The sequence below is a fragment of the Homo sapiens genome, chromosome 2 (genome assembly GCF_000001405.40).
Source record: "Homo sapiens chromosome 2, GRCh38.p14 Primary Assembly".
In the NCBI taxonomy this organism is placed as follows: Eukaryota; Metazoa; Chordata; class Mammalia; order Primates; family Hominidae; genus Homo; species Homo sapiens.
Genome location: NC_000002.12, coordinates 221,168,628 through 221,186,960, shown reverse-complemented (window position 1 = coordinate 221,186,960; position 18,333 = coordinate 221,168,628). Strand labels below are relative to the sequence as shown.

The following is an 18,333-nucleotide window of genomic DNA, read 5'->3' as shown; positions in this document are numbered from 1 at the left end:
GATAACAATAACTGAATTTAAAACATTAAAAGCATTCATAACAAAACCAGAAATCTTGATGTCTCATTCACTTATTTATGTAAAATTACATCTGCTTGTGTCTGAAGACACGGTGTGGCCCGGCATGGTGGCTCAAGCGTGTAATCCCAGCACTTTGAGAGGCCAAGGCAGGTGGATTGCTTTAGGCCAGGAGTTTCAGACCAGCCTGGGCAACATGGCAAAACCCTTTCTCTACTAAAAAAATACAAAAATTAGCTGGGTATGGTGGCATGTGCCTATAATCCCTGCTACTTGGGAGGTTGAGGCACGAGAATCACTTGAGCCTGGGAGGCTGCAGTGAGCCAAGATCACGCCACTGCACTCCAGCCTGGGCAACAGAGCAAGACTCTGTCAAAAACAAACAAAAACAAACAAACAAACAAAAACAAAAACAGAAAAGCACAGCACACTCTGCATACTATTCTTGGAAGTAATCTTAGAGCGGTAAGATTTCATGATTTTTTTAAAAATATGCATATCTTCTAATTTAATGTGTTGTTCTAAAAGGGCGCTCTCTTGTACAATCAGAAAAAAATCTAGAATTGCAATTTCTTACTGTGGAAAACAATGTGCAGATTTTATGAATAGAGTCCTATTTAGGCAGGGTATCACTTCTGCCATGATACAGGTGATCAAAGAAACTGACAAGGGTGTCACTTCCGTCATGATACAGGTGATTAAAGAGGCTGATGAAATAGCACAAATATATACTTTTTCTCTCTCTAGAGCAAGTCCTAGAACTTGTCTGTGGTCTATTTCTTGCAGTTGCTGTATACTAGGATATGAACAAATATGCATAAACTTAGATGGATATCACAGTTTTATTACGTGCAAGAGGGAAGCAGCAACTCTTTCAGAAGCCAAGTGTACAAAAGCTGCCTTCAGTCTGGTAGGTGTTTGAATTACACATTATCCCACAGAGATGGGCTCCTGGAAACAACTATATATGTATATACATACACAGTTTACATTATGCAGATGTGGGCAAAACACCTGCACCCTTCTGTCTACATTTTCTAGAAGGAAAGCAAAACAATTTGGAAATAGCAAACAGGGTGTAACTAGGATGAGACTTGCCATGGGAGTCACTGTGGGGCAAGCCTTGCAGGTGGAGTGGGTAATGCAGAAATGAAGTGGAAGCCAAAGTGATGGGGTGCAGTCCTTCAGCACATGACAACAACAACAACAGGGTACACACATCAGGTCTGTGGTCAAGATCAGCTTCCCACGCTTCTGCTCAGGAGGGTACCACATGCCAGTAGCAATCCCTGGGTGCAACATTGCTTTACATCCCTGGGATGGAGTAGATTCTGCAGAGTGACAGAATTCAGATTTTAGGGTTGTTCTTTCCATGATATGGAAAATCAGTAAAGGGTAGAGCTCAGCACTTTGCTTGCTGACTGACGCTTTTTTAAGAAGTCTCTTTTACCCACAGGGAGGCACACTTCAAAATTTATACTCTAAGAACAGAATCAAGCGCTATAGTTAAGCTCTGAAGGAACTACAGAAATGGCATTTCAAAGTTACTTAATTATTATTAATCTCATTATATTGAGAAATAAAGAATATTCAAAAAAGGTTTAACCTAATCAACCCTATTAAAGGAAATTATCTCTTTTTTAACGGAGGAACTGGGAATTTGCAGAAGAAATAAAAAGCAAATGTCACAATCAACATATAAGATATATAAAACCTCATTTAAATGAGAGGTAATTTGTATGTATTTAACATCTTGAATATACTTCAAATATTGCAGTATTTGCTGACTGTATTCATTTCCTATTGCTGCAGCAACAAATCACCACAAACTTCATGACTTAAAACAACTCAAATTCGTTATTTTATGGTTCTGGAAGTCTGACATGGGTCTCATTGGGTTAAAATCAAAGTTTTGGCAAGGCTGCCTTCCTTAGGGAGGCCCTAGAGGAAAATCTGTTTCCTTCCCTTTTCTGGCTTCTAGAAGCTGCCCACATCCCTTGGCTTTTGGACTGTTTCCTCCATCTTCAGAGCCAGAATTTTTGCACCTTTGATTCTTCTTGGGTAGAAATCACCTTTTGATCACAACCAGGAAAGATTCTCGCTTTTAAAGACCACGTGATTATGTCAGGCCCGCTGAGATAACCCAGGATAATCTTTCCATTTCAGGGACCTGAACTGAATGACAGCTGTAAAGTCCCATTTGCCACTTCAGGTAACACGCTCATAGGTTCCAGGGATTAGGACATAGACATCTTTAGGCACTATTATTCTGCCTGCCTCACTGACAATGAAGTGTGGCGTTATAGTGCAGAATAACAGCACTGAAAATGTTTGCACAGAGATTTTCAGGTCTGATGACATTTCATTCCTATTAGCAATGCCTGTATATTTTAATTAAAACAGGCCCTTTGAAACTTGGTACACTATCATTTTATGATGTCAAAGCAAGGAGGTTAACCTTGAACAGCAACCACTTGAGACACACTGGTACCCACAGTTGCTTTGCTGCATTAATTATCTGATGATGGACCCTTGTATTTCATGGAGATGGCATTTGTGAATGTGGTTATTTAAGCATAAAGCAATGATTTGTCAAAAACTTAAAGCAGATAGCAAACATTGGCTTGTGAAGATCAAGGAGCAGGAAATAATTTGTGATGGAAGACATTCCATTGAAATCTGGAAATCTAAGTACATTAAGTTCTTTGTTTCCTTTTTCATTTGCAGAACAGCTTTTTATTAGGAACTCATCTAGAAGGCTAGTAAATTGCCTCCTTAAACATTGTGTACTTTCTTTTATGGTTGAAAAATTAGTATTATTAAGCATCTGAAGTAAGAGAGGGTTTTTGAACCCCACTGCATTTTGGCTAGTTAAAGTTAATTGCATAATTATTGCTTTGCTGGCTTGAAATGCTGGTTCTTATAGTCAAATTTACTTCCACAGAATATTAAATGAAATAAAAAATTAAACAAAAAATAAAAAAGAGAGCTAGGAATTGGATTATATGATACTACTAAAAAAGAGATTCCTAAAGAATGAATATATACTATATATGAAAAATTTCTGCCACTAATTTTAATTTTGATATTTAAAAAATGATTGATTTCTAATTAACTCCTAATTAAATGCAGTGAATATTTTGGTACTTTTCTGGCATACATTTCCCTTTCCTCCTTCCTAATAGAACCCCAAAAGTTCAGATTATATGGAATACTGCCTTTCATCAGCCCTCGACTCAAGAGATTGATTTAAGAAAATCAGTATAATTTCCCTCCATTTTCTACAGGGATTGGCACAAGCATGGCCAGGTACACCAGAGTCTGTATGTGGTGTTTTCTAGCTGAAACTTTAATTTGTGGTTTGGGAATTTTTTCTTCTGAAAAAGAAAATTGCATTGCCTATGGATGCAAGTCTTGAAACCATAAGGAAAAAAAATACTTGAGGATGAGGCTAGCAAAAGTATAAAGGTGTTGCTGAAAGAATTGCAGAGACATGAGGGCAAAACAGAACCTCAGCTTAATTACCTCTGGAATTTTCAAGTTATGAGAACTTTGTACCTTTCATGTTCTCAAGACATTGTATGTAGTATGTTCTGTTATTTGAGACCAAAATGTCTCAAACCATGCTTCAAGCAATACATAAACACATTAATATATTCTCCTTTCAACAAATACAAATGCATCTACATTAACTGCCACATTCTTTTTTTTTTTTTTTTTTTTTTTTGAGACAGGGTCTCAATCTTTTACCCAGGCAGAGTGCAGCGGCACAGTCTTGGCTCACTGCAACTCCAGCCCCCGGGCCCAAGCAATCTTCTCACCTCAGCCTCTCGAGTAGCTGGGACCACAGACCACAGACTTGGGCCACCACTCATGGATAATTTTTTGTTTTTTGGATTTTTAGTAGAGACAGGGGTCTCACCATATTGCCCAGGTTGTTCTCAAACTCGTGAGCTCAAGTGATCTGCCTGCCTCAGCCTCCCAAAGTTCTGGGATTACAGGTATAAGCCATAACATCTGGCCTGTTGACTGCCACTCAGGAAGTATTTAACATAATATATAAAGTATATAAATAAAAATGCCAATAGTCTTAATATCACCTCAGTGGTTGCTAAGATCTAAAAACAACACTGGAAATTATACTGATTAATTAAGTCCACAGAATTGGATCTATTATAGCTGTTGTTTCATAACCAATTATGATTGCATACCTCTCTTGTTTATTCATGTAATTTGTTTTGTGAACATCAAAATACACCTAAGAACTAAAATATTATCAACACTTTACATCAACTCATGTGTTGTTTCCCTACCTTACAGTGAAGTAATGACTATCCTGACAGTTGTGTTGGTCATCCCTTTATTTTTATAATTAGTTTGATTACATAGATTTTAAGGCCTAACAGCATATGGTATACCTTTGTTTTTGAGCTTTATTTAAGAGTGTCATCCTTCATGTAGGCTTCTGAGACTCACGCTTTCAGTTAACATGTTAATTCTTGCGTGCATGTTGTGGTAAGTAACTACTCTTAAATGTTCATTGTTGCATAATATTCCACATCATGAATATACCACAATTCTTCATATATTTTTCCATTACAGATTTTTAAATTTTTTTCCAGAATTTTGCTATTATAAACCTTTTCCTATGAATAGTTTTATACATCTATTCTGAAGCACATGTAGAATGATTTCTGTTGGTCTGCATCAAGAAATAAAATTGTGGTCATAAGATAAGAAAAATATATATAATACTGTATTACCATCCAAAGTGGTCAATGAATTTATATATTTTCAGTAGCAGGAATAAGGCATCCAATACTTTGAATTATCAGATTTCTTAATATTTGTTAATCAAACATGATTTCTAATTTTGGTCTTGATATACATTTTCCTCATTATAATGTTTGAACATTTTTCCATATTATTGACTATGCAAATTATCTTGTCTAGAACTACTTGTTTATGTTTTTGTCAACTTTTTATGTGTATTGTTTGTTTTTTCCAAAAAAAAAGATTTAATTTAGGCAGGGTGTGGTAGCTCACGCCTGTAATCTCAGCACTTTGGGAGGCTGAGGAAATGGATATCTTTAGCCCGGGAGTTTGAGACCAGCCTTGGCAACATGGCAAAACCCCATCGCTACAAAAAAAAAGTGTGTATATATATATATGAAAATATATATAAAAAAATATATAAAAATATATATATATAAATATATATAAAAATATATATAAATATATATAAAAAATATATATAAATATATATAAAAATATATATAAATATATATAAAAATATATAAATATATATATAAATATATGTATATATATATATAAATATATGTATATATATATATATATATATAGATATATATACAAAAAATTAGCTGGGTGTGGTGGTGCATGCCTGTAGTTCCAGCTACTCAGGAAGCTGAGGTGGAAGGATCACTTGAGCCTAGGATGTTGTAACGAACTGTGACTATGCCACTGCACTCCAGCCTGGGCAACGGAGTGAGACCGCATCTCCCTCAAAAAAAGATTTATTAAGTTTGCTTTTATGCTTAACACCTTTTAATGTTTTATTTAATAAATCTTGGCCGGGCATAGTGGCTCACACCTGTAACCCCAGCACTTTGGGAAGCTGAGCCTGATGGATCACCTGAGCTCAGGAGTTCGAGACCAGTCTGGCCAACATGGTGAAATCCCATTTCTACTAAAAATACAAAATTTAGCTAAGCATGGTGGCTGGCACCTGTAATCCCAGCTACTTGGGAGGCTGAAGCGGAAGAATCGCTTGAACCCAGGAGGCGGAGGTTGCAGTGAGCTGAGATCGTGCCATTGCACTCCAGTCTGGGCAACAAGAGCAAAACTCTGTCTCAAAAGAAAAAAAAAAAAAAAAAAGCTTTTCTCAATGTAAGATTATATATGCTTTTTCTAAAATCATTAAAATTCTACTGACAGTTTTATGTTTTATCATCTGAAATTGATTTTTATGTATTGTGTAATATAGGAATGTTTTAAATCTTTTTTCCATACAAATAACAATTTCTGGGTTCTATATGTAGCAATCTGTCATGACACCTCTATTGCATATTTATGTTATTTAGTCATAAATTTCTTTCTGTATTCTGTATTCTATTTGCCAATTGTCTTTCTCGACGTCTCACTCTACCATCTTAATTCTTATAGTTTCTTAGTCTAAGTATTTGAGGAGGGGAGAATTTTCCCCTCTTTATTCATGAGTATTTTGGCTACTTTGAGTTCCTTTCTCTTTCATAAAAATCTTAAAATGAGCTTGTCAAGTTGTATAAACAATCCTTCTCAGCTTCTGGTTAGAATTACACTGAATCTATAGATTAGTATGGAAAGAATTACTGTTGTTTAGATAATGATTTTAAAATCTTTGAACATATTCTAGCACTTCACTTATTTAGAAGAGATATTATTACCACTTTTCTCAGTTTCTAAAGCTAATTATCTGATTTTTTTCCCTAAGTTTCTTTAAAGCAATTTAAAGAAATTGGCTATGTATACAAAAAATCACTTGAGAAGTTAACAAAATAATGATGACTCTGCCCCACCCCAGAACAATCAAACCTGTATCTTTAGAGATGGGGCCCTGGTGTTGATATTTTAAAAGTCTTCCCACAGTGATTCTAATTTGCAGTTTGGTTGTGAGAACCTCTTTTTAAAGGTAATTTTAGTTGTCAAACTATCTGTTCATGTTCACTAAAGACAGACACTTGTGTGATGTTGTTTCATATGGAACAACTGAAAGAGGAACTCCTACAGGTCATTCTCTCTTCTCCCTGCATCTTCACATGGTCTTTTCTCTGTACCTGTCTGTCCCCAGATTCCCTCTTCTCATAAGGACATCAGTTATGTTGGATTAGAGCCCAACTTAATGACCTTAAAATAAGGTCATTAGGTTAAAATAACCTGTTTACCTCTTTAAAGACCTCATCTCCAAATACAGTCCCATTATGAGGAACTAGGGGGTTAGGACTTCAACATACACATTTTTGGGGTACACACTTCAGCCTATGACACTCACTTACCCAGCTTTCCTTTCTGATGGAATATCAGCATTTGACTTGGGCTCAGCCAAATCAAATCCTTTAGTCCTCAAATTTGAATTGGGAACTAATTACATAAAGACACATAGACAGTAGAAAATTCAGTCTGGAAGAGGTAAAACATAACGCTGGAAGCAGCATCTAGTTTCCAGGTCAGTAGTGGCTGTAGTGTTGAGCTGGAAGCTGCAGCATCCAGATGGAAGATGTGGCAACAGCAATATTTTTTACCAGAAAGTTCTGTGCCTTCTATTGTTCACGCCATTTTTTGAGCCTGGATCTCTAGCCTTCTCAATGCTATTATGATATACCCAGTATCCTTTTAATACATTCCTCAATTCTTAAATCAGCCAGAGTCCATTTCTATGCCTTGCAACCAACAACCCTAACTGATATACTTCATATGGTGAAATACTATATAGCCATGAAAAACAAAGTTTTCTGAACATTTTAATGGCATTGGAAATATTTATGGAATATTACTAAGTGAAGAAGCAGGTTATAATACTATATATAGTATGATTTACGTTGTGTTTTAAAACTGTGTATATATAATCCTAGACAAAGATTAGATGGGAATATATCAAATGTTTACTGTGATTATCTTTGGGTAGCAAGATTGCATTTGACTTATGTCTTCTTCTTTTGACTTGCCTGTACTTCACAAGCATTCTACATATAGTACTTTTATTATCATACAATATTTACAAAAGTGAAAGTCAACTCAGCATGGCCTTTTGGAATTCTCCCTGTTCCCATAATGTCTGGCTAGATGTGTGCTTCACTCCATGCTTTCATGTAGATCTTTATGGCAGCTCATGTTACTCCTGTCTCTAACGTGGCCATCTACACTCCCTGGTTCACTTATCATTCTTCCTTGCCAAGCTGTGAGTTTCTTTAGAAGAGTTATGAAACCTTACATCCCTATATTACTAGTTCCAAGCACAGGATCTGGCATAGAAAAAACACACAGCCAATATTTGTTGAATGAAAAAATAATGATCCTTTAACATCATGTAATCAATTTCTTCAGTTGTATTAAGCTATTTTGTGGAATTTTGGTGATGACTAAAATTCTAATATAGTATTCTTGAGATTTTATGTCACTCAATTATTTATCTAGGGTAGGAAGAATTAACAGTATCATTCTACATTCAGGTTTTTCTATCATAAAGTAGACATTCTAATAATACTTTTATAATTGTGAGACATGAATGAAGGGATGCAGGAAAACTATTTCCTACATGGCATAGCACCTTAGATAAGTAATCAATTATGTTAATCATTCATGTTGTAACCAACTCATTAAGCATAGAGCTAGCTAGGTTTTATCTTATAGTCTGTTATAACTCCAGATTCTAGCTCAGTCACAGGCTACTGTTGGTGAATCAAGGCTACATTTCAGGGTCACATTGTCTGTGAGGAAGTGGAAGTGCAAACGTCATTCCAAGGATTATAATCCTTCTAAAACTCAACACATGATTCTATTCTAGCTTAAAGCAATTTGTTCAAGCTGGCCAATCCGATTCTGTGTCTAGGGTGACTGGTAGCTGTTTCATGTCAGTGGTAGCACCCGAGGCTTGTGTCTATCAAAGTGCTCGCCTGCACTAGATAAGGAGCTCATACCAGAATGTAAATCAGCACACTGCCTTCTTCACTAGGGAAATCTTGCTATAGAAAGATTGTCAGCTGAACTAAACAGTATATTGAATAAACTGCCTTAGAGTAGAAGATGTGGAGGACCCCAAAGTCCACAAACTGAGCTACGTGGGGCGTCCTGATTCTGACACTTCCCATGTTTAATTGATTGACTTTTTTCCATCTTTCAAAAAAAATTCTATTATTTTTCCTCTGCTAGCTCAAGCAACCAAAATTTACTTAATAGAGTAGAGCTATGAAAATGAGCTAATGGGCCAAGAGTATGGATCTTAAAGTCATGTTCACGGAGAAGGTCACTGGAACCAAGGGCAGGTAAACATGAAAGAGAACATTGACTAGGAAAGATGAGTGATAGAAAGAAAAATCTTGAGGCCAGAATCATTTCATTTATAAAGTTGGAGTTGGAAGAGACATAATTAGAGGGAACCGGGAAGGGATATCAGACAGAGTGGAAGAATCAGGAAGATACATGACATAAATCCTAGGGAGAAACATGTTTCACAGCAAGATACTGGCCTATAGTATTTTCTTGGGTTAGGATGGGCTGTGTATGGTCACCAACTCACAAATGCATTTTAATGGCTTACCACAATAGAAGTTTATTTCCTGTTACACAACAGTCTAAGGCAGGTGGTCCTGGTTCATGGGTGATTCAAGGACAATGGGTCCTTCCATCTGGTGGCACCAGCACCCGTGAGGATCTTGCTGTTATTGGCTGAAGAGACATGGGAAAGTCTTTAATCTGAAAGTGAATTGTGTCCTTCTGCTTATATTCCATTGGCAAGTACTAGCCACAGCCAGATGCAATTACAAGAGTCAGGCGGCCCCTTTCTAGCAATAAGTCTGTGCTATAGGAGAGGTGAGTACATTTTGGTAGACAGTTGGCTTCTCTTCCTCAGTGTTTGCCACTTTTCCAAGCAAGGTTAAGAAAATGAGGTCTAAGGAATATCACTGAAGTCATTTGGAGGTCTTCAGTAGAGTGAGAAGAACTGAAGCTGTATTTCACCCATTAAAAGGAAAAAGATTATTCGAAGAGGAAAGATAGAAGGAATAGACTTCTCTTTCAAATAGCTAGGCAGTGCAAGGGCAGTAAAAGAAAAAATAATATTAATAGATGGAAGAGATAGCAAGAGAGAAGGAAAATTTTATTTTTATAATTAAGTTGACCTGAGCATGTATATAATGAGTAGAAAGAAATGAGACATAAGAAAAGCAAGAAAAAACAGAGCTTGCGAACACAGGTGCAGGGGTTAGCAATGGATGGGGAGAGAAGATGTCTTCTGGAGAGACTAGGGATTAAAAGCGAGGGTGAAGACACACATGTCAGTGGAGGAAAACAGTTTATTTGGCCGCTGTCCAGGAAAGCAGGAAGAAAGGCCATCTGCTTCTGTTGAGAGGTAGGGATATAGGACTGGGGTTCGTGGGAGTATAAAAACTATGGAATCTCCCATTGCAGACGTAGGGGTATATGTCAGGAGATTAAAAAAAATGATAGCTAAGCAGAGGACAGCACAGAGCCGAGACTAGAGATTTACAGGTGTCCCAATCAAAGAATAAATCCCTTGGTGATATTTTTCCTTCTCTTACAAGTAACTTTTCATCCCACTTTTTTTTCTCTTTTTTGGAAAAAGACATATTTTTTAAAGTGTCAGTTAGGCTAGTATGACTTATAAGATCAAACTAGTCAACTATTTGAACAGACTGGAAATAATAATTCCCCTTTTTTATGCTTGGTACTATAGGTTGGTAAAGAAACACAGCAAAGTGGATATGAAAGAAAAGGTCACATAAAATGACTGAAATACACAAATTGAGGGTGTTATTTTTACTTATCATTTTATATTTCAAATGGCTTCTGAATAATGATACTTGTAAATGTTTGTTCACAAATAGAGGTATGGATTTTGTGTAGGTGTTAATGCCATTTAAAAACTGGAATTACTTAAAATGCATTATTGGTGCAGAGGGTGGCGGTTATTTTTTCTTTTAATATGGAGAATAAATAAAAATAACATTCTTAAAGAAGAGGGAAGTCATTTTTACTCAGCTGAATGGCAGTGTTTTCCATTTTATGACTTTTCTCAGCCTGCAGGTTGTTATTTTGCAAAGCATATTTAAGAATAAAGTTTTTTTCTTCCATTCTTCCTAGGGAACACTAAACCTATCCATTACCAAAGACTCCTACCAGTTTAAACAGAATTCTGAAACTATTACTTTTTCTAGGCCAAGATGAAGCCAGCAATCTCCACCCAGAAGGCATTTTATAACCTGCTAAAATGACCTCAGCATGTGCCAGATTTTAAAAGAAGTAATTCTGACATTCCTCCTTCAGCCTTTGGTTGAAACATTTGTCCACCAGTTAGATATTAAAAATAATTATTTGTGCACACACACACTGCACATGTACACACACAAACACAATCAAAAATATATCTTTGGGTATTTTTAGCCTCATTTTCACAGTCATATCAACTTAAGAAAAGTATATGTTTATATGAACATTTCAATGGTATATTTTAATATATAGACATATTTTTGAATAAAAATGCAAAAAAATCACTATAAATGTTATTACTTTTAAAACAGAAGTATATTGAAAGCTTTTGATATCAAGGCCCATTAATCTGTATGATATTGTATATAAAATAAATAAAACTGGTTTTTCACTTGAGAAAAGAAAGTGTAAATGTAACTTAAAATTGAATCTTGTTCTCATTGGTTTTTGAATTCTAATCTGTAAACATTGTCCCTAAGGAAGAAACTTTATGGAATAATTTTAAAAATATGTGTGTGTGTGTGTGTGTGTAACATATGTACATATATGTTAAAATGGCCTTAATTCTCATAGGCAGGAAATGATCCTAAAATACCACAATTCAATGAAATTACCACAGGTTGGTTTATTATATTTTACTTCTTGTATATCTGATTTTTTAAAAGCTAGGGAAAAAATTACCAAATGTTTATAGACAGATGGTTTAAACTTAATCAGATTAAATATCAACATGGAAATCACATCAAGGACTGAAAATTCCAAGCATGCTTTAAAAATTTTCTAACAAGACAACTTCATAAGACAAAGTCAGGCAGAACACTCATGTTTCATCTGTCGGATTTATCCGCAATTGACTTGTTAAGTGTCCCTCAAATAAGCTGTCTTGGTAAATGGTTGCCAAAGTACATTTCTAAAGTTCATAGAAATGTATTTGTTGACAGTTGGGATTTAAAAAGTTTAACTAGTTTCTTTTTCTTTAAAACAGCTATTTAGTACACAATTGTCTAATTTTAAAAAGCAGAATAGGTCCCAGATTGGTATTATCCATCTTTAATTTCAGCTTTTTGGAGAGTATGAGATATGTGTAATTGGAATGGATATTCATTTGTTGTTATGTAGAGCTGATTTATTAGTTTTTTTCTAAACTTATACAGAATTTCTTTCTATTTTCTCCTGCTGAACTTAACATAGAAATTTATTCATGCAGAGAAGAAGCTTAGCTTCCCCACAGTCTAATAATGCCTTGACTGTACAGTTGAGGAAGGAGGCAGATAAACATCCTATATGCTAAAGCAAGTCTGCAACCAATTCATCTCAGTACCTGGGTCTCAATTATAAACAATCTTTAAAAACAATTTAATTAATATATAACATACAATTATTATCAATTATTTATAAATTATTTACCGTTATAAATATAACTATTTATAATGAAAGTTCTTTCTACAATACCAATTTCTTTGTAAATTAGATTACGGTCATTTATGTTCTTTCTACCCTTTGCTTCTCTTTCTCACTTCACATTTATAAGATTATTTCTTGACCTACCTACAAACCTCAGAGTCAAGGATTGAAATCTATCACAGTGCAGACCTATGAACGGATTTTGATAGATGACATCTAATAAGTGAATATTTTTGTGTTCACAGAGAAATAACCTAGATATAACTAATGCCAACTTGAGCCCACATTTGAACAAAAATAGTGATGATCCAGAATCAGGTTTAGTCAGCTGAAAAAAGTATACAGTCAAGCAGACTCACCAGGTTCATTCAAGTCCAAATTCTGCTTTTGCCTAAATTAACCAGATTGACTCCTCCATCTTCCTTCTGGCCCTTAAATACTGCATAGAAAATGACTCAAAAACTTGGCTCGGTTTTTTAGGGAGATGTGAAAGCTTCTTGGGACCACTAGTACATCTGTCTCTCCCTAGAGTTGCCTGAAGGTTTTTAAGGCTGTTACATTAGATGTTAACTTTTCCCCATGGCATTCAGCAGGGCTTCTCTTCGGGGTCCGTTTCTAGCAACCACCCTTTGGAAATCACTGGGCACTATGTATTTACGTGAGTCTACTTATACTTCCATACCATATTTTTATTGTTATTTTAAAAAAGAAATACAATTTCTCACTTATATTATTTTCTCCATGAAGGTAAAGGAGATGATTAAATAATTTATAATGGCTGAATAGCTCCCTCTTCCTTGCATCCCCTACTTTATTGAAGAGTATAGGATTTCTGAGACTCCAAAATACCAAAATCAGTGGGCTGTACTCATTCTCCATATCTCAGAACTAATCCACTCAGGGGGTTATATTTTGTTCTTCATTTTTAAAACTCAGGATACCAATCTGTCATATAATGAGTGGTGAACAACGAAAGCTGGTACATGAGAAAGACAGTTCCTGTCATGAGAAAATGTCACCTCTACCTATTTAAACTTCCAATACTATATATTTTTCTTCCAAATATTTCAGGGTGACAAGCAATTTCTAGCTTGTAAAATGTAACCTTCAGCTTAAGTAACAGCTTCTTAAAAGTTGTTTTGATCACCTTAACTTCAATATAAGAATCTCAAAGGAGAAAATTGAAAAATAACATTTTTGGGGGGCAATGCCTTCTTTTTCTAGCCATAAATACCTATGTAATTCAAATACACAAAGGAAAAAATAGCTCCCTTGGTCGTATGAGAATGTCCAAATCAATTAAGTTAATTAAAAATAACAAAGCATTTATTAAGCTCTGAATGTTTTTAACATACAGATGTTTAAATTCTCTAAGGAGATTTGGACATCTGCCTATAAGAGGTGACTTCCAGATCATGGCATTGAATATAGGTACTGTTCCTGTTATCTATTGTGGAGTACAAATGGCCTCAAAGTGCAGTGACTTTAAAAAACAGCAATCATTCATTCCAATCATTAATTTACAGTTTGAGCAGGGTTTGTCAGGGAAGGCTGGTCTCTGCTCTGCTCAGTGCAAGGTAGAATAGCTTAGCTGTGGCCTGGAGGATGTGGTCCCAAGATGGCTCTCTCACAAGGCTGGAAAGACAGGGACTGGCTGCCACCTGGAAGTGCAGCAGAGGCTGAAGTTTAGGAGCCTCAGTTCTCCTCCATATGGGCTTCTCCAGGTTGCCTGGGCTTCCTTATCTGCATGATAGCTGTGTTCCAAAGATAAGTGTCCCCAAAGAGAGAGAGCCAGTAAGAAGCTCTATTACCTTTTATGACCTGGCTTTGCAAATCAAATCATGTCTTGCCCAGTTCATCCCATTCACTGGAAACAAGTCACTAAGGCCAGCCCCACTCAACTCATATTCAAGGTGAAGGAATTAGACTCAATGTCTTGATGAAAGGAGGATCAAATAATTTGTGGATATATATTTTAAGCTAACACAGCATGAAACAAGAATGCTAAAAGTAATGCTAGATAAATTCTAAAGAGCTAAAAAGAGCAATTCTTCCTTGAGTTATAATTTTTGAAATATCATTTATTAAATTCCTAGTATGTGCTTTACATTTATTTTCAGTAATCCTTACACAAATTCTAAGTCGGCATTTTCTGTTTTACAGATAAAGTCAAAATCACAGTGGGAGTGGGAAATGATTTGCCCAAGGTCACATAGGTAATAAATGATAGAACCAAGGATTTAAAAATTAACCTCTTTTTGCTACCCATGTTAAAGTTCTAAGAAGGTGGTGAGATTTGACTCAGAACCTGGCAGAGGGGTAAAATCTGAGTGGCAAGAGGAAAATGGAGATATTCTCTCTCTGCAGAATAATGTGATAAAATGTACAGGAAAGCATCAGATAATTTTCATAAGAATCCTTTGGCCAGACCAGAATATTTATATGCAGTCTATTGGAAGCCATACCTGAGGCAAGTGTGGGATGAAGATACTGGTCTTTGGTAGCTAGAAAGCTTTGCAAAGGTGTGGCAAAAGTCTGTCCAGATAAGCTGGTACTAGTCCATTCTGGAGAGGGTCTTTGAGAAGTTGGCAGATTAGGGAGGCTGGCAGAAAAGAACCAGGTCAGGGATCCTAGAAGAGTCACTGACCACTTACTAAGTAACATTTCAGCTAAAGTGGCACGTACACTACGATTTCTAGAATTGTTAACCACTTGGAATTCAGTGCTGTCTTTTCTCCATAAATAGCACTTAGTGTGAAGATGGGCAGTTTATAAAACATCTTCCTCAAGGAATTGTGGCATGTTACTCCTTTGAAGTTTTTTTGTTCCTTTTAAATCATTTTATTGAGGAAGGTTGACATACAAAAAGTTGTATATGTTTAATGTATACAATTTGATGAGTTTGCAGATAAGCATACATCTGTGAAACCCTCACCACCACCTATGCCATAAACAGATTCATCAACTTCAAATTTTCTTCCGCTTTATTTATAATGATAATGATTATGATGATGATAGGAACACTTAAGATAAAATCTATCCTCCGCAAACTTTTAAGTATATCATACATCTTATTCACTATAGACAGTACGCTGTCTAGTAGATCTCTGGAACTTGTTCATCTTGTATAACTGAAACTTTGTACCCCTTGACGTGAGTTTTAAGAATGGTTATATCCATCAATCTATCCTGAGTTCTAAAACAGACGTTTTGTTCCTGTACTCAAGAAAAACATTTTTAATTCATTTTTATTTAACAAACACATAGCACTTACTATGAGCCAGGCACAGTGCTTAATACTTTGTAAATATTTTTAAAACCTATTTGAGTTACGATTGCCATTGTACTTATGATTACTATAGTTCAACCCCAGAGATTCACTGTCAATACATGTTTTTTTTGTTTTGTTTTGTTTTTTTGTTCTGTAAGATGAGGAAGAGGGTAACTAGAAGTCAATCTGGGTTTATCTCAGAGACAGTTGTAGTGTGAAAGAAAAGACCCTTGAATTTGAAAGCTGCTATTTTCTTGGAAAATGCATTAGCTCCTCTAAGCCTTGTGTTCCTCTGTGAAAGTTTCTGTAAGAAATAAATGAAATAATCTACAGGCCAATGTATGAAAAGGTATGCCATGAAGTCAAGAGTTATCAAAATATAATGTGATACAATGCTGCTAAGAATGAATGAGAAGCTGTGCCTCCAGGCCACATGGGCCAGCTATTGACAAGGGCCCCTGGCTGCATGCATTAAACCCAGCTCCTCCCAATTCACAGACCTCTCTTTATCAACAGCTGTTCCTGGGTTAGCACTAGAGTTACTTCTACCATTGGCTGAGCTGATAACTGAAGAATACATGTATATTAACAAAAATAAAATGAGTGCTTTGGATGATAAAGTATAGCAGCCCTTCCTTATCCTCAGTTTCAGTTACCCGTGGTCAACCATGTTCCAAAAATATTACAGAGAACTTGGAGAGACAGAGAGAGAGAGAGAGACCCCATTCATAACTTTTACTACAACATATGATTATAATTGTTCTTTTTTTATTAGGTATTGTTCATCTCTTACTGTGCCTCATTTATAAATCAAAGTTAGTTACAGGAAAAAACATAGTGTATTAGGGTTTGGTACTATCCACATAACATGGTTAGAGGCCTGCACTGGGGGCCTTGGAACGTATGCCCTGAAGAGAAGGGAAAACTAACATTTATATCAGTGGTTTCCAACCTTTTTGGCACCAGGAACCAGTTTCGTGGGAGACAATTTTTCCACAGACCTGGGGAAGGGAGCATGGTGTGGGGATGATTCAAGCACATTACATTTATTGTGCACATTTTTTCTATTATTATTACATTGTAATATACAATGAAATCATTATGCAATGCACCATAGTGTAGAATCACTGGGAGTCCTGAGCTTGTTTTCCTGCAACTAGTTGGTCCTATCTGGGGCTGAATAACAGATCATCAGGCATTAGTTTCTCATAAGGAGCTTGCAACCTAGATCTCTCACATGCGCAGTTCACAATAGGGTTTGCGCTATAAGAATCTAATTGCCACCACTGATCTGACAGGAGGCAGAGCTCAGGTGGTGATGTGAGTGATGGGGAGTGGCTGTAAATACAGATGAAGCTTCGCCTGCTCACCCGCTGCTCACTCCCTGCTGTGCGGTGGAGTTCCTAACAGGCCAGGGACCAGTACTTGCACCGGTCTATGGACCAGGGTGTGGGACCTTTGGTATACATATTCATCTTAGGCAATATCATTATGGGCTTAACCATGATACTATCATTGGATCTTCAAGTTTTCCAATTCTTTTTGCTAATAAACATTATTTTTGTATACAATATCCATTTTTATTCTTTTTTTTTTTGAGACGGAGTCTCGCTCTGTCGCCCAGGCTGGAGTGCAGTGGCGCGATCTCGGCTCACTGCAAGCTCCGCCTTCCGGGTTCACGCCATTCTCTTGCCTCAGCCTCCCAAGTAGCTGGGACTGCAGGTGCCCGCCACCACGCCTGGCTAATTTTTTGTTTTTTTTAGTAGAGACGGGGTTTCACCGTGTTAGCCAGGATGGTCTCGATCTCCTGACCTCGTGATCCGCCCGCCTCGGCCTCCCAAAGTGCTGGGATTACAGGCGTGAGCCACCGCGCCCGGCCTCCATTTTTATTCTTACCTTTCTTTGTTTCTCATAAATCTATCCTTACTCTTTTACTTTAATGAAGAGTAGATGGCGAACCCACTTTGCTCTTAATGATACATGCACCTTTCATGACTATATATGAAACATGATTAAAACAAAATTATATATATAACATATGATTTATATATAAAATGTACGCATGATATGTATTTAATTTTATATGCATTTCTGTATTTTACATGCATTTAACATGTACATTTGTATTTAATTTAACATGTTTTTAATTTGCTCCTAGAATTTGTTGCCATCTCCGTACACTTTTAACTTCAGACTGCAAATATTATAGTAAACAAAACAAAACAAAAACATTGTCTGAGGAAGAAAAGCTGCTCGTTATGCTAGATCTTAGTCTTTCAATTATTTAAAAATATTTTTAGTACTACTTCACAGGTAAAGATTTTATGAAAGAATTATTTTTCTGTCAAACATCCTACGATGTACCCTTTTTAAAAAGAAAAGCTTTTATTTTTCCATGAAATGTCACCCTTGTTTAAAAAACAAGTGTTTTAATCATTGTAAATTTAGCCATAACACAGACTTTGTTCTTTATTTCTAAAAAGAAGCTACGGCTATAAATAAAGGGATTTTTGTTGTAACAGTAACATATCACAATAATGGTAGTTCACAATAATTATTATAAAAATGGATAGAAATCATTTTTTTGAGAATCAAATATCTATTTTTTTGTCATCTTTTATAAACACCATCTCATT

At 36.0% G+C, this 18,333-nt stretch overlaps 2 annotated features.

Moving 5' to 3' along the window:
- Window positions 16,939-17,438: an enhancer, noted in NCBI's record as "H3K4me1 hESC enhancer chr2:222034243-222034742 (GRCh37/hg19 assembly coordinates)". NCBI's record gives its function as "activates a minimal SCP1, AML or CMV promoter by ChIP-STARR-seq in primed H9 embryonic stem cells {active_cell/tissue: H9 hESC(primed)}" and the evidence as "EXISTENCE:reporter gene assay evidence [ECO:0000049][PMID:30033119]".
- Window positions 17,439-17,940: an enhancer, noted in NCBI's record as "H3K4me1 hESC enhancer chr2:222033741-222034242 (GRCh37/hg19 assembly coordinates)". NCBI's record gives its function as "activates a minimal SCP1, AML or CMV promoter by ChIP-STARR-seq in primed H9 embryonic stem cells {active_cell/tissue: H9 hESC(primed)}" and the evidence as "EXISTENCE:reporter gene assay evidence [ECO:0000049][PMID:30033119]".